General features: G+C 38.4%; 1 protein-coding gene across 7 annotated transcripts in view; it reads left to right on the plus strand.

Annotated features, from left to right (window-relative positions):
- RBL2 (RB transcriptional corepressor like 2) overlaps positions 1-21,824 on the plus strand; it is a 57,178-nt gene that overhangs the window by 10,595 nt on the left and 24,759 nt on the right. For 5 of the 7 annotated variants that reach the window (NM_005611.4, NM_001323608.2, NM_001323609.2 and 2 more), the window contains exons 4-13: positions 1,977-2,041; positions 6,638-6,766; positions 8,387-8,547; positions 8,640-8,704; positions 9,591-9,777; positions 14,386-14,552; positions 16,676-16,785; positions 17,487-17,590; positions 19,161-19,298; positions 20,373-20,537. In NM_005611.4, coding sequence (NP_005602.3) covers positions 1,977-2,041; positions 6,638-6,766; positions 8,387-8,547; positions 8,640-8,704; positions 9,591-9,777; positions 14,386-14,552; positions 16,676-16,785; positions 17,487-17,590; positions 19,161-19,298; positions 20,373-20,537 — 1,291 coding nt within the window. Of the gene's footprint in view, positions 1-710; positions 865-1,976; positions 2,042-6,637; positions 6,767-8,386; positions 8,548-8,639; positions 8,705-9,590; positions 9,778-14,385; positions 14,553-16,675; positions 16,786-17,486; positions 17,591-19,160; positions 19,299-20,372; positions 20,538-21,824 lie in introns of those variants that run through there. The other 2 variants (XM_011523253.3, XM_047434414.1) reach the window with 2 other exon arrangements.

Consider the following 21,824-nt stretch of genomic DNA (forward strand, 5'->3'; position numbering starts at 1 on the left):
ACCTGATCCCCAGCACTTTGGGAGGCTGAAGTGGACAGATCACTTGAGCCCAGGAGTTTGAGACCAGCCTGGACAGTATGGCGAAACTTCATCTCCACAAAAAATAGAAAAATTAGCTTGGAGTGGTGGCGCACACCTGTGGTCCCAGCTACTGGGGAGGCTGAGGTGGGGGGATCACTTGAGCCTGGGAGGTTGAGGCTGCAGTGAGCTGTGCTCATACCACTGTACTCCAGTTTGGGTGACAGAGCAAGACCTTGTCTCAAAAAAAAAAAAAAAAAAGTAAATCACTTTATTAGAGATTTTACATTTTAATCACTTTGTATACTTTCTGTTAGCTCTTTCTGTTAACTATAGTCATAATGTATAGCACTTACTGAGCATTTACTTTGGGGCAGGGACTCTTAAGACTTCAATATGTATTACTTCAGTTAATCCCTCTGACAACCTTGTGATACTCATACTATTGTTAGATAGAGAAAATTAGCCGCAGAGAGGTTAAGTAATTTGGCCAGGGTCGCACAACCAAGCGTGGAGTTCTTATTGAAACTGACTGCGGGAACCCATGTGCTTTACTGTGACTATATACTGCATCTCTCACACACTATCTGAAAATGTGTCACTATTTGTTTAGCACTTATCCACAGGAAATACTGTTAGGTATTATGTAGGACACAGGCATTTTTTAAAACACCAAACCCCACAGTCTCTGTCTTCTGAGAGCTTACAGTACAGTCAGCGAGATGAGGCAGGTATGAAGATTCCAGTGCATGCAATGCAGTGTGTTATAAAAGTCCCATGACTACCAGAGGGAATACAGATGTAAAACTTAGGAGGAAAAGAAATCACTCTGGATGAGCCAGTCAGGTAAGTTTACATGGAATAAGTAGAAATGGGTCTTGAAAGATGGGTACGAGTTTGATAGGTGAATTTGAAGATACAGATAGCACCTTCTGTGTAGAGGAAACAAGAAAAGACAAAAGCAGTAAAGCAAGAAGAAATGTGGGAGGTTAGTCAAGTTTTTTTTTCTAGAATTCTCAAGTTGTAGAGCCAGAATTAAGAGTAGCTTAAGTGTTAAGCTAAAAAAAATTGAATTTTATTTTGGTAGGCAACTAAAACTAGAAATAGTTTATCATGCGCCTATGGTAGAGAGGCTACTTTTAAAAGCAGAACACTGACATTTAATCCTTGCCATGGACTGGTGAACTAAGTACAGTATTGTACCCAAGTAGAGTAATCTTTTGACAGATGAAATGACTAAGGCCCAGGTGAGCAAGTACCCTAGCTAATGGCAGTGCTGGAACTAAATCTAATCTAATCTTCTCCACGGAATTTCGTTCTTCTGGGCACCTTGTTAGAATAAGGCTGTTGGGAGGTGGAGACCACAGATTTCTTGTCTAAAAGTTGTCAGAGGTTTTGGTAGAAAAGCCAAGCTTAAAGCAGGTCTGAAACTTGGCAGACTACTTGGCAATATACAACAGGTACTCTTAATGGATGGAAGTATAAGGAATTATAGGAAGCTCATAATTTACATTAAAAAGGCCTTTTGTGATTTGATATAGTCTGGAATATCTTTAAGGAGGGAGGGAGGGATACAGGTCATTAGCTATGATAAAGGAGAAAAAAATAAGGACATATCTGACTGCATATAGTGGTCCTAAAGCAGCATAGCATTGCTGTGTCATCAAAAGAACTATTTTTATTCATTTTATTTTCCACCTCACCTATCTTGCCCTCAAAAAACTTTAAAAAATTCTTTAAGAATTTTCTTTTCTTTGAGATGGGCTCTTTCCCTGGATCCCAGCTATTTCCTACCAATATTTTGTTAAGGCAGAACGTCCACGTTTTCCATGTGAAGCTGAATCTGTTGTCTCTCCCTTTAACTGTGGGTTTTATTTTACACCTGATTTATAATCATTTGGGATTTTTTTTTCTGATTCTTCTGTTGTCTCATGACTTTTTTTTTTCTTCCCCCAAAGGCGACAGCCCTGTACTGTGTCTGAAATTTTCCATTTTTGTTGGGTGCTTTTTATATATGCAAAAGGTAAGAAAATAGTAATATTTATTTAGATTTAATATGTCTATTTACATTTTCAGGTATTAATTTTGTCAACTTCTAATATGTATCAGGAAAAGATTTTCACTGAAAATTTTCTCAAGGGTTTTAATCCTAGATTCTTTTTTAAGTATTGCCTTTTCATCAAAGGATCTATTGGATTTCTTTACAATATCCAAATCTTCTCTTATTAAATGGAAAGTCCATTAACTTTGTTGTATACAACATCTTTTCTACCCAAAGCTACTCTTTTAAATTATGAGCTGAAAACACATTATTCTGTATATGCTTGTATTGTGAACTCTATTTTTCATGAGATGTATCTTATTTAGTTGAGCGCAATTACTGATCAACCTCAGAGCTGTTCAGATTTTTTTTTGTATCTTGTTCAGATAAGTATACTTAGTCAAATGCTTTTATATACTATTTATTTTCTTTCCCTTTTTTCTTGTCTCATTTAACCTACCCAAGGTCTGCATTCAGTGAAATACATGTCTCTATTATTTTTTGTCCTTTTTGTATTTATTTATTTATTTATTTATTTGAGATGGAATCTCATTCTGTCTCCCAGGGTAGATTGTAGTGGCACAATCTCGGCTCACTGCAGCCTACACCTCCCAGGTTCAAGTAATTCTCCTGCCTCAGCCTCCCGAATAGCCGTGATTACAGGCGCCCACCACCATGCCCAGCTAATTTTTGTGTTTTCAGTAGAGATGGGGTTTCACCATGTTGGCCAGGCTGGTCTCAAACTCCTGACCTCAGGTGATCTGCCTGCCCTGGCCTCCCACAGTGCTGGGATTATAGGCACGAGCCACTGCGCCCAGTTCCTTTTTATATTTCTATGTAGAAACAATTCTTTAAAGTAGATAGGAAAGTGCAGTTATATTATTATATAGCTTTCTTCTGTATACTATGTGGAATGCCTTTGCCACTAAGATGGCTCAATAAAATGCAAAGTTAACAAAGAATCTTAGAGCTGGAAGGAGTTTCATAAGTATAAGAGAGACTCTCATTATTAGATTAACTAGCTTAACTTACTTTATTTTATTTTTTTTTTGAGATGGAGTCTCACTCTGTTGCCCAGGCTGGAGTGCAGTGGTGCGATCTCGGCCCACTGCAACCTCTGCTGCCCGGGTTCAAGCAATCTCCTGCCTCAGCCTCCCGAGTAGCTGGGATTACAGGTGCCTGCCACTGTGCCCGGCTAATTTTTTGTAGTTTTTAGTAGAGACGGAGTTTCACCATCTTGGCCAGGCTGGCCTTGAACTCCTGACCTCGTGATCCACCTGCGTCAGCCTCCCAAAGTGCTGGGCTTACAGGCGTGAGCCATCGCACCCGGCCTAGCTTAACTCATTTACTTTATTTTTTATTTTTATTTTTATTTTTGAGACAGGATCTTGCTCTGTTGCCCAGGCTGGAGTGCAGTGGTATGATCTCTGCTCACTGCAACCTCCGCCTCTTGTGTTCAAGTGATTCTTGTGGCTCAGCCTCTTGAGTAGCTGGGATTGCAGGCATGCACCATTATACCTGGCTAATTTTTGTATTTTTAGTAGTGTTGGGGTTTTGCCATGTTGGCCAGGGTGGTCTCGAACTCCTGACCTCAAGTGATCTGCCACCTCGGCCTCCCAAAGTGTTGGGATTACAGGTGTGAGCCACCATGCTCAGTCAGCTTAGTTACTTTAAAGATTAGGCAGCTGAGCCCAGAAACTAGCTGCTGGGAACAAAGCTAAGATTGAACTCAGATCTCCTGGTTCCTGGTTCTTAGTTTCATACTGGCTGTGAAGGCCTCTGGGAAGAATGTGTTACATTGTTGGTCTCCAGGTTTGATTTGTCCTGGTCCCTCTCTGGCTAATTAGGGTGAGAGCCGCCATCCTTCCTTCCCTGAGCTGCATGCTTGATTCAAGAGAAAAATCTTTCTTTTGTCATACATGACACTGGCATGTTTCTTTAGTGATGATAAAGGCGACATGATCAGTGGCATGAAATAAAGGTTTTGGAGTATATAAACCATTTTTACAGCGGCTACAAATTTTAGAATGTGTGACTGCTATTATGTATGATGGTAATCTTTTCATATGATTGTATTGGGCAAGTATGTCTCATTTCTAGGATTTTTATCTGTTTTGTTTGTCTTTTATGGCATATGTGTACTTAGAAGTAAATATAGTTGGTACTATATATAATATGTACAATACAATAAAAAATAATTTCATTGTCCTTATTTTGTTCTCACTGGACCTGTTGGGGTGGTTTTTTCTCTGTAATTAACTCAGTGTTTGACTTTTATCTCATTAATTCAGTTTATAATAATTCCACCTTAAGAACCTTTGTGGATTGGGCATGTTGGCATATGCCTGGAATCCTAGCTACTTGGGAGGTTGAGGTGGGAGAATCGCTTGAACCTGGGAAGCGGAGGCTGCAGTGAGCTGAGATTGCACCTCCAGTCTGGGCGACTTTGAGACCGTGTCTCGAAAAAAAAAAAAAAAAAAAAGAAACTTGGTCCTCTCACAGTCCACCACTGTGATCTTTTATAATACACGATGATCTTTTCTAATAGTCATTTAATTGCTTTAATTCAGTTCTCATTTATTTGGGGGAAAGGTGTACTCTTTTATAGCCACCTTTCTAATGACAAATAAGCCAACTCTGGAGATGAAACATTTCTATTTACTTGTTATCTTTGTTGATTAAAAGATAAAATACCTCACAAAGTCAGATTTATTTGTAAGGTCAGGATTTGAAATAGAAAATACGTCATGTTGAGAGAGTCCTAGAATTTAATTTAAATTAGATTCTGATCTTTAGGGGCATTTCAGCTTTTTATTAGATGTTACAGTACTGCCTTTTTTTTTTTTTTTTTTTGCCTTCTATGGCAAGTGCACACCAGTAACAAGTTTAGGCTTGTTGGTGTGATGGGCTTTGTAGCTTGAAATCAGTAGGTGCTACTTACTTCCTTTTTTACACATGAGGAACCAAGTATATTTTAATATTAAACCTCTTTATAGAAGAACCAAGCAAGTTGGTTTGGCTGTATCAATGCACAGTTTAATGTGTTGATTATCGTTTGCCTCTTTGGCAGAGAAGAATTTTTTTTTCTCTTTAGTTCATTTAAGTTGATTTGTTGAATGTTTCCATCTATACAAAAAAAGAATTGCTTTGTATACGCTGAGGTAAGTGGTAACTTTCTTTGGAGGAACAGAGAGAAAGGGAAACCTGAAACAAAGCTGCAGGTGTGTGTGTGTGTGTACATGTACACTTGGGTAGGCGTTAAGTGTGAAATGCTGAGGTTTGGAAATAATTCTTCATATGTATGTTAGCTATTTAAATTGAATTTATCTGATGATACAAGAATGTAAAATCACCATGAAGCATACATGTGCAGTGTTTAACTAAAAAAGGATGGGCTTGAAGTTATAAAATAACTAGAAATAATTCTTAATTTCTAGAAAATTAAGATAATAATAAAATGGTTTAACTACACGTAAAAATGTGTTCAGTGTTAGAGTTCAACCAGCACTGCAGAAATTACATGTTTCTGTCAGTTTAGGTTTTTGATTTCTTATTTCCCTGTTACCAAGCATCAGCAATTATTCTTGGGATTATTAGCCCTGGAATTGAAAGATATTTAATGGTACTCCTGTTGCATTAATTTGTCTGAGTTTATGTAGAAAAGTATTAAAAATGTTACTGTTGGAGTCTGATAAAAAGTTCTGGTCTTTTAAAAATATGTGTATGAGAAATAGCATGAACTCAGGAGGCAGAGCTTGCAGTGAGCTGAGATCGTGCCACTGCACTCCAGCCTGGGCGACAGTGAGACTCCATCTCAAAAAAAAAAAATGTATATGAGAATAATTAAGTGAATTATTTTTTCGGCTGTCTCCTAAGTATTTCTAATAATTTTCATGACAGAAAAATGTTTTCATGCAAAACAATTTCTTACAGTTTGAGATAATTTATAAATGTTTTGTGTTCAGAATTTTCAAAGAAAAGACCAATGATAAAGTTTTATTCAGCTACTAGGTATTTAATAAACACTTAATGAATGAATGGCATTTTTAGTAAAGTTATAGTTTTCACTAAGCTGTTAGACATTTATTAATTTATTAAAGGCCAGGCATGGTGGTTTACACCTGTAATCCTAGCACTTTGGGAGGCCAAGGCAGAAGGATCACTTGAGTCCAGGAGTTCAAGACCAGCCTGGGCAACATAGCAAGACTCCATCTCTAAAAAAAGTTTTTAAATTAGCCATGTGTGGTGGCGTGTACCTGTAATTTCAGCTGCCCAGGAGGCTGAGACAGGAAGATCCCTTGAGCCCAAGAGGTTGAGGGTGCAGTGAGCCATGATCATACCACTGTACTCCAGCCTGGGTGACCCACCAAGACTCTGTCTCTTAAAAATAAATAAATAAAGAAATTTATTAAGATATAAGAGTAATATGTCAAAATGTAAATTTGCCAAAACACTTATTGTAATGAGTCAATTTTGTACAATTGTTTTGTAATGTCATAATAAGTAAAGGAAGAAATTTTTTAAAAATGTTACAAAGTCAATGCTAATTTAACTCTGTAACTGCTTATAATCCTGCAGGTAATTTCCCCATGATTAGTGATGATTTGGTCAATTCTTATCACCTGCTGCTGTGTGCTTTGGACTTAGTTTATGGAAATGCACTTCAGTGTTCTAATCGTAAAGAACTTGTGAACCCTAATTTTAAAGGTAGGTTTGTAAATCAAAGATTTTTGGGCAATCTGCGTTTCTGTGTTATGTTTACCCTTGGAGTTGTACAGGTTTCCTAGCATCAGTATTTTGAAGAGCTCCTGTCATTACGGCTATCCAGGGTACTTATAACTAAGAGTCAAGCTGCCTGTAAAAATATTTTTGGATAAACAGTTGCAGATACCACAAAGTTTAAAGTCTTAAATGACAACTTCAGAAGTTTCTGAAATATATACTCAACAAGGAGAAGGCATTTAGAAACTCAGAGTTGCGAAGATGACATTAAAGCCGATGATGTTTTTCTACATTGGCAAACTTTGTGCCTGACACATTGTAGGAGATCAAAAAGAATTTGTTGAAAGAATCTTACTTCAAATTTTGGTACAGAAGAATAGTTATGGTTCTAAAATAAAGAAAATGAACTTTCATCTTTTAAACTAACAGATATATGGAAATGATGATTTTGGCATTGCATTTAATAGAACTTAGGTATATAATTTCTATGAATGATAAACAGTTACAAGCCCAAATTATGATTTACAAAGCAAATATTAAAAAGTATGTATAGAGTTAAAATAAATATTGCTGCTGCTATTTGAGTAATATTGTAATAGGATTCTGGGTGATTCTCAGTTTTGAGGTAATTTCAGTTAAAATTTCAGCTTGTCTATCAAGGTAGATTTTTAAAATTAGTGGAGTTCAGTTGCTCCTGGTATGGTAAATTTAATGTTCCTCATATTCTTTTCTGTTCTTTCTCTCATTTCTATCATAACTCCCTTGTATATTCCCAAAAAGCTGCTTCCTTTCACTTTTATCTTTTTTTTGTTTTAAATTAAAAAGAATTTTTTTTTTTGAGACAGGGTCTCACTCTGTCACCCAGGCTGGGATGCAGTGGTGCAATCACAATTCACTGCAGCCTCAATCTCCTGGGCTCAGATGATCCTCTCATCTCAGCCTCCCAGGTAGCTGGGACTACAGACATACACCACCACACCCAGCTAATTTTTTTGTATTTTTCAGTATAGATGAGGTTTCGCCATGTTTCCTGGGCTGGTCTCAAACTCCTGGACTCAAGCGATGTACCCACCTTGGCCTCCCAAAGTGGATTATAGGAATGGAGCCACTATGCCCAACCTTTACCTCTTTTATTTTTATTTGATTTTTTTTCTTTTGTGCTGAGTCTAGGGCAAGAATAAATTGTAAACTAGTATGAAATACATCTAATACATTCAAATTAAAGTATATAATATCTGAACAGTGTAATTTTTTTAAAGTGGTGTTTTTTGTTTAAAAGTAGACTTACTTGCAAAGTTGTATTTTGTGGTTTTTAGATCTTAGTATCCTAAAATTTGATATCCTAAAATTTAAGTTTTAAGTTTCCCTTAACCATCTCTACATAAATAATTGAATAACTGAAATCTTTCGAGTAATGATACACTTTACTTCTATTTGCCATTTTTTGACAAATTCTTAGCGTTGAAATAGGCCCATATATACTGTTTCCTATACATTTGTATGCTAAGTGGTATACTGATTATACTCTATGTTTTACATTTTAGTTTATTACAAATTGGCTTATTGTGTGCTGATATCTCTGTTTTGTGATTCTATACACCATAGGCTTATCTGAAGATTTTCATGCTAAAGATTCTAAACCTTCCTCTGACCCCCCTTGTATCATTGAGAAACTGTGTTCCTTACATGATGGCCTAGTTTTGGAAGCAAAGGGGATAAAGGAACATTTCTGGAAACCCTATATTAGGAAACTTTATGAAAAAAAGGTTTGTAAGTAGCAAAGAAATAACGTGAAAATGTTTTCTGGAGAAAAACTTGATTTAACATGACGACTTAAGGATCTCTTCTTTCATCATAGCTCCTTAAGGGAAAAGAAGAAAATCTCACTGGGTTTCTAGAACCTGGGAACTTTGGAGAGAGTTTGTGAGTACTTCTGTATAAAATGTTTTAATATTTTAAATTGTATACTTAGGAAACTTCAGAAGTTAGTGTTTTTATTGTTTGTACTCTGGAAACTGAGAATATGTTTTGTGAGAGAATACAGGGAAGCAAAAATTCTGTCACCTAAATATAAGCACACTTTTTAAATGTGTTCAAAATTGTATGGCTGTTTTTGAAGTTTCTTTAAGCTTCTGGATTATAAATTTTGAAATAAATTCTTTTGGAACTATATGGGTGAAAATTGATGATGTGTAAGTGTGGAAGTCTTCAGGGGTGCCTAGAGCAGCTAGACAGATAGTTAAGCTTCTCACCGGAAGTTGCACCTACCAGCAGCTGAAACACTGTCAGCAAAATACTTGTACTGTGTGATGGATGAGCTTGGGGATAGCAGGATTACATGTGATACTATCCAGTTTTTGTTTTGTTTTGTTTTTTGAGATGGAGTCTCGCTGTGTCGCCCAGGCTGGAATGCAGTGGCATGATCTCGGCTCACTGCAACCTCTGCCTCCCAGGTTCAAGCGATTCTTCTGCCTCAGCCTCCTGAGTAGCTGTGAATACAGGCACGTGCCACCATGCCCAGCTAATTTTTGTATTTTTAGTAGAGACAGGGTTTCACCATATTGGCCAGGCTGGTCTCAAACTCCTGACTTCGTGATCCACCTGCCTCAGCCTCCCAAAGTGCTGGGATTACAGACGGGAGCTACTGCACCCAGCTATACTATCCAGTTCTTATAACTACAAGTTACCCTACCAAAGTTTAACTTTCAAAAAACTATTAGAACTTTTAGTAAATAAAAAAATGAAATAATTAATTGAAATGGCAGTTCTGTGAGAGAGTACATTTTGTCTGTATTTGTTTTTCCTATAGTAAAGCCATCAATAAGGCCTATGAGGAGTATGTTTTATCTGTTGGGAATTTAGATGAGCGGATATTTCTTGGAGAGGATGCTGAGGAGGAAATTGGGACTCTCTCAAGGTGTCTGAACGCTGGTTCAGGAACAGAGACTGCTGAAAGGGTGCAGATGAAAAACATCTTACAGCAGCATTTTGACAAGGTGAGTTTAGCCATGCCAGAAGAGTAGAAATACAGGAGCAGGTAAGCCAGGGGTTCTTTTTTATTTTGGTAATTTCATGTTTGTGTTTTACTTGCCTACAGTATGAAGGAGAAAATTCTCATCATACTTCTCTTAATTGAAAAAGGTATCTCTATGATATTTGCTTTGTTAATATCAACTTTCATTCATTTTAGTGAGGTCTGAGAAAAAGAAATTAATATAAATTTAAACAAATGTGTCATGCTGATAATTGTTGGTTTTAAAAAGATGGGCCAGTAATATATGGTCTTATATGTAGTGAACATAGTGTAGGCATTTAGAAAGTGATAATTGACCTGACTGGGGCCTTCATTTAAGAGACTGGAGAAAATGAGGATCTACAGTCTTTAAGAAAATTCTTTTAAACTGAATTTCAGGACCACGTGGTATTATTTCAAACAGACACTTAGAGTGATGCAGGCCAAGAGTTTCCCTTCTGCTATGTGGTGGAACAGAAAACACCAAACTTCTGGCAAGTGCCACCAGGGAAACACTGGGTAATCCAAGGGCCAGTTCACCTGGAAGTGAGCTGCTTCAGACTTGAGACTGGTCTGCTTATTCATTCAACAGATATTCCTAAAGCATTTTATATGTCAGGTTGTGTCCTGGACACTGGAGATAAAGCAGTGAACAAAATAACCACGAGAACCCTGTTCTAAAGAAGCTTATATTCCAGTGTGGGGAGATGGACAGGAGATAAACAAGTAAATATATAGTATGTTGGGTGATGATAGATGAAGAAAATAGAGTAGTAATACAAAATATTGAGGGGAGGGGAGAATGGGATGGGTGGGCTGTGGTAGGTAAGGTGGTTGGGAACGGTGTCACACACCAGAAGTAAGTGAGGAAGCAAGCCATATGAATAGCTGGGTAAATGTATTTGAAGCTGAGAGCATAACAAATGCAAAGCCGTGAGGTTGGAACAGGATTAGCTTTTTGGAGGAACAGTGAGAATGCTAGTGTGGTAGGAATAGAGTGAGGGAAAAAGTGGTAAGAAGTGACGGGAGGCCAGGTGTGATGGCTCATACTTGTAATCCTAGCACATTGGGAGACTGAGGCAGAAGACTGCCTGAGCCCAGGAGTTCAAGACTAGTCTGGGCAACAAAGTGAGACCCCGTCTCTACATAAAATATTAATACAAAAAATAAGCTGGCCATGGTTGTGTCCACCTGTGGGCCCAGCTACTTGCGAGGCTGAGTTAGGAGGATTCGTTGAGCCCAGGAGTTCCAGGCTGCAGTGAGCCGTGATCGCGTCACTGCCCTCCAGCCTGGGTGACAGAGCAAGAGCCTGTCTTTAAAAAAAAAGAAAAGAAGAAGAAAAAGAAATGCAGGGAAGAGGGAACAAGAGAGCCAGACAGACCGTGTAGGCTTTGGAAGCCATCGTAAGGACTTTTGCTTCTGCTCTGATTGAGGTGAAAGCCATTAAGAGGGTTATTAAGAGGAGTGACTGATTTACATTTTTAAAGGTCTTCTGGGAAAGTGGGATTAGAGGCAAGGGTGGAAGTAGGGAGTTAAGAAGCTATTGGAATGATTCTGGCAATAGTTTATGGTGGCTTGCTTCAGAGAATGGTTTGTAGCTGGGCCATATTTTGGAGATGGCACCCACAGGATTTACCGAGGGTTTGTATCTAGGGTATGAGAAAAAGAGAACAGTGATGTCTCCAGTTGGGTGAATGATATAAAAGCTAAAATCCTGACAAGTGCCTGTAATGTTGTAAGTTATCTGGCCCTGGCTCTCTCTGAATTCATCTACTTTCCTCCCTCCTCACCCACTTATGCCACATTAACCTCCTTTTTTGTTCTTCAGATATGCCAGGCATGCCTGCAACACAAAGCCTTTGCCTTTGCAATTCCCTCTGCCTAAACTGTATTGCTTCAAGAGACTCATGTGGCTTCCTTCTCACTTCATTCTGGTCTCTGATAACCCAACTGCTATGTCAATAATAACCACAACATCCTCCCCAACCCTCAGGACTTCTTTTCCCCCTGACTCTGCTTGCTAGTGTTTCTCTTCGTATTTATCACTGTCTGACAGTAAGTAGGGAGGTAGGTAGAAAGAATTGTTTATTACCTGTCTCCTTGCATTAGAATATAAGCTTCACCAAGGCTGTGACCAGTGTTGTATGCAGCGCTTGGCACATAGTAGACATTCGGGGAACATTTACTACTGAAATTTATTAAGAGGGAAGAGCAAGTCTGGGGGAAGGGGAATCAAGAGTTAGGGTTATTAGCATGTTAAATTAGAGATGTCTTTTAAGCATCCTAGTAGAGAAGTTGAATAGACAGTTGAGGTATACAAGACCGGAGTTCACAGTTCACAGTAGAGGTTAGGGGTTGTGTATATATGTCCTGGGGTCATCAGGGTGGGTACAGATAGCTTTTTTTTTTTTTTTTTTTGAGATGGAGTCTCGCTCTGTCACCCAGGCTGGAGTGCAGTGGTGCAATCTCGGCTCACTGTGACCTCTGCCACCTGGGTTCAAGCGATTCTCCTGCCTCAGCCTCCTGAGTAGCTGGGATTACAGGTGCCTGCCACCATGCCCAGCTAATTTTTTGTATTTTTAGTAGAAACGGCATTTCACCATCTTGGCTAGTCTGGTCTTGAACTCCTGACCTCATGATCTTCCCGCCTCGGCTTCCTGAAGTGCTGGGATTATAGGCGTGAGCCACCATGCCCAGCCGTAGATGGCTTTTAAAGCTATAAAATGAGGAGGGATTACTTAGAGGTATGAATTGAGAGAGAATACAAGAGGACTAAGGACAAAGCTCAGGGTCACTCCAAATTTTGTAAGTCTTCATTTGGAGATGGAACATCCTAATATTTTTAAGATACCGACTTAATATTTGCACCCAAGTTAAAGATTCCTCTTGATCAGAATGAACAGGAAGCTTTAAGCTAAGCACAGTGCTACCAAGAAGCACCATGTTGACCTTGAGGACTCTGGCAGGAAGCTGTTTGTGGTTGTCACACCTAGTTTCCTCTGTGAAACTACTGCTGCCTGTGGGTGATGTGGTTATATGCTGCTGGCTGCTGTTGATTCTCCTGTTTGTGTACAAGGTGTTTTTCCCTCCCAGTGCCTCCCAATGTAGGCATCGGTTCATGCACAGTGAAGTAGTTGGCTGCAAGAAACCTTGTAAGGCAGGGAGCAGCCTTTTGAATGCAATAATCTACCCAAATCATTTTATTGACTTAATTATAGAATGAATTTCTTTGAAACAAAGTGAAAGTCTTAGTTGTATTACACTTTAAGACATAGAGAAAACATGTAGGTTTGTTTCTGTATACAGTAAATTTCTGTGCTTTTCTATATCTTATGAAACTTGAATAGTTGGCTCTGTTGCCAGGTGAAAGTTTTGCTAGGTTTTTTAAAAAATTAGAATAAGTACATTTAATACACAGGGAAATTTTATCTTGAATATTAAAAGACATTGTTAAGCTATCTTAACCTTTCAGAGTTTATTTGAAAAATCAGAAAGATGTTTTACTGGCTCCTTTGACACCAAGTCACATCTTCTCCATATTTATTGTCAAGAATGTTGACTTTAACTTATTTCTCTGAAGACCTGTCTACCTTAGGGGGAGAACCTGTGATAGATTCTGGTAACCAAAGGTAGAGGAGGGGCAGGAAGACCAATGAAGGCTGTTCTGCATCAAGTTGCCTTTTTAGGGAATGTTCAACTTATTATCTGTCTCTGAAGCAAATTTGAATATTTGGATGGTGGGTGTATTAATTCATTTTAACGCTGCTGATAAAGACATGCCCAAAACTGGGAACAAAAAGAGGTTTAATTGGACTTACAGTTCCACATGACTGGGGAGTCCTCAGAATCATGGTGTGAGGCGAAAGGCACTTCTTAGGTGGCGGTGGCAAGAGAAAAATGAGGAAGAAGCAAAAGTGGAAACCCCTGATAAGGCCGTCAGATCTCGCGAGACGTATTCACTATCACAAGAATAGAACGGGAAAGACTGGCCTCCATAATTCAATTACCTCCCACTGGGTGCCTCACACAGCACATGGGAATTCTGGGAAATACAATTCAAGTTGAGGCTTCGATGCAGACATAGCCAAACCATATCAGTAGGCTTTTGTTAAATCATGGATTTTTTTTGGAACCAAATTTAATCACAATTTTCTTTTATCTTTGAGTGTCTGCAAAAATAGCAGTAGATGGGAATTGTGAAATTCTGTTTCTCAGAGCTGAGAATAATCTTAATTTTTCAGGTGAGCAGAATGCTTATCTTTGCCTCCGAGCATAAGTTTTACAAGAGGGAATGTAGGGAGCTGTACCTTATTTTAGAGTTTTAACTTTTAAGAGACAAACTTTTAGTTAGCTAAAATACAAATTATTCTTTCACACCTTCGTCTTCACATGGATATTGGCGGCTCTTAATGCTGTTATGTTTAAATTCCAAGAATGGTGACATTTGAGTCACTAAAATTTATTGATATTGTAAAGATAAAGTCTTACTGGCTTGAAGTCCCATTTGTGAAGTGAATTAAAGTCTTTCTGGCCTAAAATAATGTTCTTTAAAAAATGTTTATTAATTCTGTGTAATTTTTTTTTTCTTTAGTCCAAAGCACTTAGAATCTCCACACCACTAACTGGTGTTAGGTACATTAAGGAGAATAGCCCTTGTGTGACTCCAGTTTCTACAGCTACGCATAGCTTGAGTCGTCTTCACACCATGCTGACAGGCCTCAGGAATGCACCAAGTGAGAAACTGGAACAGATTCTCAGGTTAGTTTGAGCCCTGTCTGCTTTCTAAGATTTGGTTATTGACCATTTTCCAATTTCCTATTCTTTCATTATTAATGCCTTAATTCACCCATGAATAATTTTTTATCAATTGTATACTCAGTCCTGTTGTGAGTCTATAGAGGACCTAGCAATAAGATGTATAAGTGGAAGATCTTCTTTCCTTAGATTTCTTTAATATAATACAAGACACAGTAACTAATAACACCAGACAGTGTAGAGTAAAACACAAAAGTGTCTTATTGCCAACTGTTCTTTCAAGATTTCAGGGAGTGGTGAGGTGGGGGCGGGGGGAAGCTCAGTGATGATGGGAATTGTCAAAGGACTTTATGAAGAGGGTTGAACCTGAGGTAAGTTCTGAAGGGTGACTCAGATTTGAAAAGATTAATAGAGTTCCACATGTTCATAAAGCAGGACAAAAACCACTGTAACTTTTGTAAGCTCTATAAAACATCCTTATCCTGGAAAGGAAGTTCACTGCATTTAGTTCCTTTGATCTCCCTGAGACTGGTAGGAATATCATTGAGTTTTAATTAAAAGCCCAGTAGGCTGAATCTCATCATCTTATGCATAACCTTTGGCAAGTTGATTTGAAAAGTTACCTCCAAGGTCCCTCTCAGTCCTAAAACCTTATGATATGATAACGTAGACCCAAAAGGACCCCATTTTATTTCTGATGATGGTATATCAAGAAGACCCTATATGTACACATAAGTAATTTCCCACTCATAGCCAGGCTTCTTAAATGCCAACTACTTTTCCTTTACATTTTAGTGAAGTCTGCTTTATTCATAAACTTGATTGTGATTTATACTCAACAAGTTATATCTCTGTGGCCTCTTCCTGAGTCATGTTTTTCAGATGCACCTTGTTTGCCTTGAATTTAGAAGCATTTCGTAAATACATTTCAGAAGCCATCTTAATCTCTGTGTCTTCCAGATCGCTTTACAGTTTCTAACTAGGCATAACAGCATTTTAAATCTTAGGTACCATTAGTGGGGTTAAATAAATATTACCAGTAAATACTAGGTAAAATAAAGGGTGCTATTTTTGTTGAAAGGTATGTGTGTGTGTGTTCCCAGAAAAATTCTGCTTGTATATGTATTCAGTAGTTATCTCTAGCAGGACTGTAATTGATTTTTATTCTCTTTATAATTTTTTAAACTTGCTTCATTTTCACAAAGAATATGTATATAATTATATATATATTTGTGATCAAGATAAAAACAGTTGTTACAAAAAGCTTACATGGTGATAATTTGTATAATGCTTCTGGATTGAACATATATTGCTTTCTAATAATAGAAAGACTGAAGTAAACCTCGTTGGCGGGAAAAAAATGTAGAATGCCAGGAACAGTTTATGTGAGTCTGTAGTATGGGTTTTACACCCCTTCATTCTATTTTCTTCCAGGTGTTCTTAATGGGAGTTTTACTGTCCTCTAGGGAAATAGTTAAGGGCAAGTTTGGGATAATCAGTGACTGGGGATGTGTAGGACAGGTGGGGGACAGTCATAGATATCGAATGGGCCCAGGCCAAGGTTGCTAAACTTCCTGCACTGAAAGGTGTATCCCCGGCCGGGCGAAGTGGCTCATTCCTGTAATCCTAACACTTTGGGAGCCTGAGGCAAGTGGATCACTTGAGGCCAGGAGTTCGAGACCAGCCTGGCCAACATGGTGAAACCCCATCTCTACTGAAAATACAAAAATTAGCTGGGCGTGGTGGCAGGTGCCTGCAGTTCCAGCTACTTGGAGGCTGAGGCAGGAGAATCACTTGAACCTGGGAGGTGGAGGTTGCAGTGAGCCAAGACTGCATCACTGCATTCCATCCTGGGTGAAAGAGCGAGACTCTGTCTCAAAAAAAATATATATATATAAAATAAAAGGTGTAGCTCCCACAAGAAAAGTTTTTTTTTTTTTCATTCAAACTGGTAATACCACCACCTTTGAAAAGGAAGTATGGGATCTCTTGGATTAATTTGGGAAGTGTATAGTTTCTGTTCAGAGTGTTTTATATTTACATGTTAGTGAAATTATAGAAACATTTTATCCCCTTGTGACTTGACAAGACCTTTAAATTATGTTATTTCTCATTACCTTTTTTAGGACATGTTCCAGAGATCCAACCCAGGCTATTGCTAACAGACTGAAAGAAATGTTTGAAATATATTCTCAGCATTTCCAGCCAGACGAGGATTTCAGTAATTGTGCTAAAGGTAAGGTTTAACATTGTTATTCTGCTTTTATGTTTGAAGTTTAACTAAATGGAGTCATTTCTTACTAACTAAGAAAGATGAGGAAAAGATTTATGACTTTAGACTGAAGGCTAGGATATGGCTGTCCAATTTTTCTGGTCAACCAACTGATTTCTGAGCCCTTCTCAGTAAGATAGAAATTTTAGAATGGTATCTTTATTATATTGGACTTCTGATGCTTTTTTATCTGCAAATCTTTAGGTTTTTTTTGTAAACTGGAAATTAAATAGAAGTGTAGTGATTCTTCAACATATTGAGAATAAGGACAGGAGATATCACTGTTATGGGCCCAAACCTGGCCTAGGAATTGTTTGCTGTCAGGAATTGGAACTAAGTAGGTGTGGACTAGTAAGCCAATTACATACCTCTTAGCATTGGTCTGTTTTGTTCAAACATAGAGGAAAAAAAAGGGTGTTAGTCTTAAATGATATTACAGTTCCTTATGTGCAAATTTCATTTAATAATTTTAGAAAAATGTGACTGTTACCATGAAGAAAATTAAGGTATCTTAGGGATAATTAAAACACCAATCATAAGAAGTGTGCATATCTAAAGTATTGGGTTGGTTTTGAATTTTATTTTGTGAGTAAAGGAGGAGGAATGGGCCTTTATTTTCTTTGTGTGCCATTTTTGTGGGGTTTTTTTTTTTATTATTTCTACAGAAATTGCCAGCAAACATTTTCGTTTTGCGGAGATGCTTTACTATAAAGTATTAGAATCTGTTATTGAGCAGGAACAAAAAAGACTAGGAGACATGGATTTATCTGTGAGTAAAATAACCAATGTATTGATCAGCGCAATGAAACATAATTTCCTTCCTGCCCTATTCTGTGGGTTGTTTTTTTTACTTTATATATAGTCTCCTTTCATACACAAAAGTTTTTAATTTTGATGAAATCCAATATATTTTTTCACTAGTTGCCTGTGCTTTTGTTTTATGTATGTATGTATGTATGTATTTACCTATTTGAGATGGAGTCTTGCGCTGTCGCCAAGGCTGGAGTGTAGTGGCACGATCTCGGCTCAATGCAACCTCCGCCTCCTGGGTTCAAGCAATTCTCCTGCCTCAGTCTCCCAAATAGCTGGGATTATAGGCATGTGCCACCATGCCCAGCTCATTTTTGTATTTTTCGTAGAGATGGGGTTTTGCCATGTTGGCCAGGCTGGTCTTGAACTCCAGACGTCAGGTGGTCCGCATGCCTTGGCCTCCCAAAGTGCTAGGATTACAGGCGTGAGCCACCGCACCTGGCCTGTTGCCTGTGCCTTTGGTGCTTCAGTAGCTTTTAATTAAAAAATAATAATTATTGACAATGTTGGAAAATTATAAGCAAAAAGAACAAAATAAAAATCATCTATGATTAATGTCATCCTATGATAAACATATTCACTTTTGGTACATGGTCATCTAGCCAGTCACCTGCCTGCCTGCCTTTCTGTTTTTTTGGGTTTGTTGTTGAGACAGAGTCTCACTCTCTTGCCCAGGCTAGAGTGCAGTGGTGCAATCTCGGCTCACTGCAACCTCTGCCTCCCAGATTCAAGTGATTCTTGAACAGTGTTGCCTGGGCTGGTCTCAAACTCTGGACCTCAGGTGATCTGCCTGCTTCGGCCTTCCAAAGTGCTGGAATTACAGGTATGAGCCACCTGCCTGGCCCCTTTCAATATTTTTTTTTCCTTTTTTTTTTTTTTTTTTTTTTTTGAGCCAGAGTTTCGCTCTTGTTGCTCAGGCTGGAGTGCAGTGGTGCAACGTCGGCTTACTGCAACCTCTACCTCCTGGGTTCAATTGCTTCTCCTGCCTCAGCCTCTGAGTAGCTGGGACTACAGGTGTGTGCCACCACACCTGGCTAATTTTCTATTTTTAGTAGAGATGGGGTTTCACCATGTTGGTCAGGCTGGTCTCAAACTCCTGACGTCAGGTGATCTGCCCACCTTGGCCTCCCAAAGTGCTGGGATTACAGGCGTGAGCCACTGCGCCCGGTCCCCCTTTCAGTTTTTTATAGCACTTACTGTAAATACTGTTTTGAAACATCTTTCCCTGTCATTGTTCTTCTAAGCATCAGTGTGTGTGTGTATTTTGGTTAGAGATGTAATCTCTTTTAAGATACATTTTATAATAGGTAAGGTTTTAAAATTCTCATACATTCCTTTTATATATTTCCTCTACTAAAAAATGGGCTTTATTTATATAATTAAGAAAGGTTTTGTAAGAAAATAAGGACACACTTTGCACTCACTCAGAAAATGAGACTTTCTTTGGTATTTTCACTTAAGTTCACTGGGTATGAAATGACTTTTTAGACTAAGTAAATGTTTCTAATGCTAATAACTTTATTTTATAGGGTATTCTGGAACAAGATGCGTTCCACAGATCTCTCTTGGCCTGCTGCCTTGAGGTCGTCACTTTTTCTTATAAGCCTCCTGGGAATTTTCCATTTATTACTGAAATATTTGATGTGCCTCTTTATCATTTTTATAAGGTATTTTTAAAAATATGATACTAATGGGGATATTGTAGATGAGACCAACTTCCTGTTGTTAGTCATTTAGTTCAAGTTAACATCTAAGAACATTTATTCTGTTTTTATTTACATAGTTAATCTCTATTTGTGGAGTAGAAAAGAAATAGAATCTTAAGACCTATGTAAATTCTTTTAATATTGTATGAAAGATCTATTTTGGGTAAAAGCTTTGATTCCTCTCTATCTAATAAAAGTTTTTAGAATACTGTGATTTTTATGAGCTGAGAAGGCTTAAAAAAAGTAGCACACATGTCACTAGCTAATCTTGTATAGCAGCCTTTTTTTATTTTATGAAAATTAAATACCATTGAAAATGTCAGAAAAAAAATAAAAAGTTCTCTTTCATGTGTTACAGAGAGGCATAGAGTTAAAGCATTGATTTGGTAGCTAGTTCTTTTTTTTTTTTGAGATGGAGTCTTGCTCTGTCGCCCAGGCTGGAGTGCAGTGGCGCCATCTCAGCTCACAGCAAGCTCCACCTCCTGGGTTCACGCCATTCTCCTGCCTCAGCCTGCCGAGTAGCTGGGACTACAGGCGGCCGCCACCACACCCGGCTAATTTTTTGTATTTTTAGTAGAGACGGGGTTTCACCGTGTTAGCCAGGATGGTCTCGATCTCCTGACCTCGTGATCTGCCCGCCACGGCCCCCCAGAGTGCTGGGATTACAGGCTGGTAGCTATTTCTTGATACTGACTTAGCATATGAGTTTATCTTAACTCTCATAAGATAGTCAAAACTAATTTTTATAGTGGCATAGATTAAATGTTTAGAGATTTTTATATGAAATTTTAAGAGTAATGTTTTTCAACCTCAATGTACAAAACATGTATTTTCATTAAAAAATTTTGAAATACATCACAATGTAAACCATTTTATATAATTCATAGTTTGAACTATAATTATTTACAAAGACAGTAAAAGGAAGAGCGGCTGTTTCAAAATAATACTTCAACTTGTAATTTTGACTAATTTCTTGTCTAAATATTTAAAAATATTTAATAATTATTCAGTGAACCAAGACATTTTTTATTTCAGGTGATAGAAGTATTCATTAGAGCAGAAGATGGCCTTTGTAGAGAGGTGGTAAAACACCTTAATCAGATTGAAGAACAGATCTTAGATCATTTGGCATGGAAACCAGAGTCTCCACTCTGGGAAAAAATTAGAGACAATGAAAACAGAGTTCCTACATGTGAAGAGGTTTGTGAAAATAACATCTTTTTATGAGAAAAATACATCAATATCTAATCTATTAATAATCCTTTTGGGGATGGGAGGGTGGCAATTAGGTTTAATATGTTATAATTACACCTTGTTATGAGAAAAATCTTGGACTGTAACGTCCCTCTCTACCCACAAATTGGGAAGGTGCCAAGAGACCAAAGAATGACTCAGACAAGTCCAGCTTGGTAAGTAGATAACGTTTATTAAGACTTACATATGGAGGAGGCAGAGGTGGTGGGGAAAAATAAAAGACTTATATACAGGGTACTCCTAGGTAGCAGCAGGACAGCTCTAGAGATCCTCGCCACCTCCCATCGCTAAGCTGCTTTTAAGCTAATTTTCTGGCTCTTTGCCTACTATGTGTGTGCACGATGGGACTGTTTTCCTTGGTAGTTTCTCAGATCTTCTCTGGGATGTTGGGGTTCTCAGGGACACCTGTTCCTTGGCTGGGCACCATGGCCTTGGCTCACTGCCTAGCCTTCAGGGTTTAGGCAGCAGACATACACCCTTAAGTAAGGTAGGTGACCTGTCACATTTCACCCCATGTCAAAGAGGAAACGAGTCAGATAATTTGTGGTTGTCCTAAGATTTTGGTGACAGAGTAAAAATTCAGTGTTCTTTCTTGATTTCCTTACCAAGTTTCTTTCCCATAGAGCAGTGGTCCAACCTTTTTGGCACCAAGGACCAGTTTCATGGAAGACAATTTTTCCATGGACAGGGTTGGGGGTTGGAGAGATTTTGGGATGATTCAACTGCCTTACATTTATTGCACACTTTATTTCTATTATTATTACGTGGTAATATATAATGAAATAATTATACAACTCACCAAAATGTAGAGTCAGTGGGAGCCCTGAGCTTGTTTTCCTGCAACTAGATGGTCCCATCTGGGGGCGGTGGGAGACAGTGACAGATCAGCAGGCATTAGATTCTCATAAGGAGCATGCAACCTAGATCCCTTATGTGTGCAGTTCACAATAGGGTTCACACTCCTGTGAGAATCTAATGCCACCACTAATCTGACAGGAGGCCAGCACAGGCGGCAATGTGAGCGATGGGGAGCAGCTTTAAATACAGATGAAGCTTTGCTCGCATGCTCACTTGCCTGCTGCTCACCTCCTGCTATGTTGCCCAGTTCCTAACAGGGTCCATGGCCCAGGGGTTGGGGACTCCTGCTTTAGAGTGGTTGATATTCAAACTCTCCAAACCAGTAATGAAGTTTGACTCATATTTAGTATCCAATTACAAGGTTTTGAATTTTTT

This window comes from Homo sapiens, chromosome 16 (genome assembly GCF_000001405.40).
Source record: "Homo sapiens chromosome 16, GRCh38.p14 Primary Assembly".
NCBI classification, from domain to species: domain Eukaryota; kingdom Metazoa; phylum Chordata; class Mammalia; order Primates; family Hominidae; genus Homo; species Homo sapiens.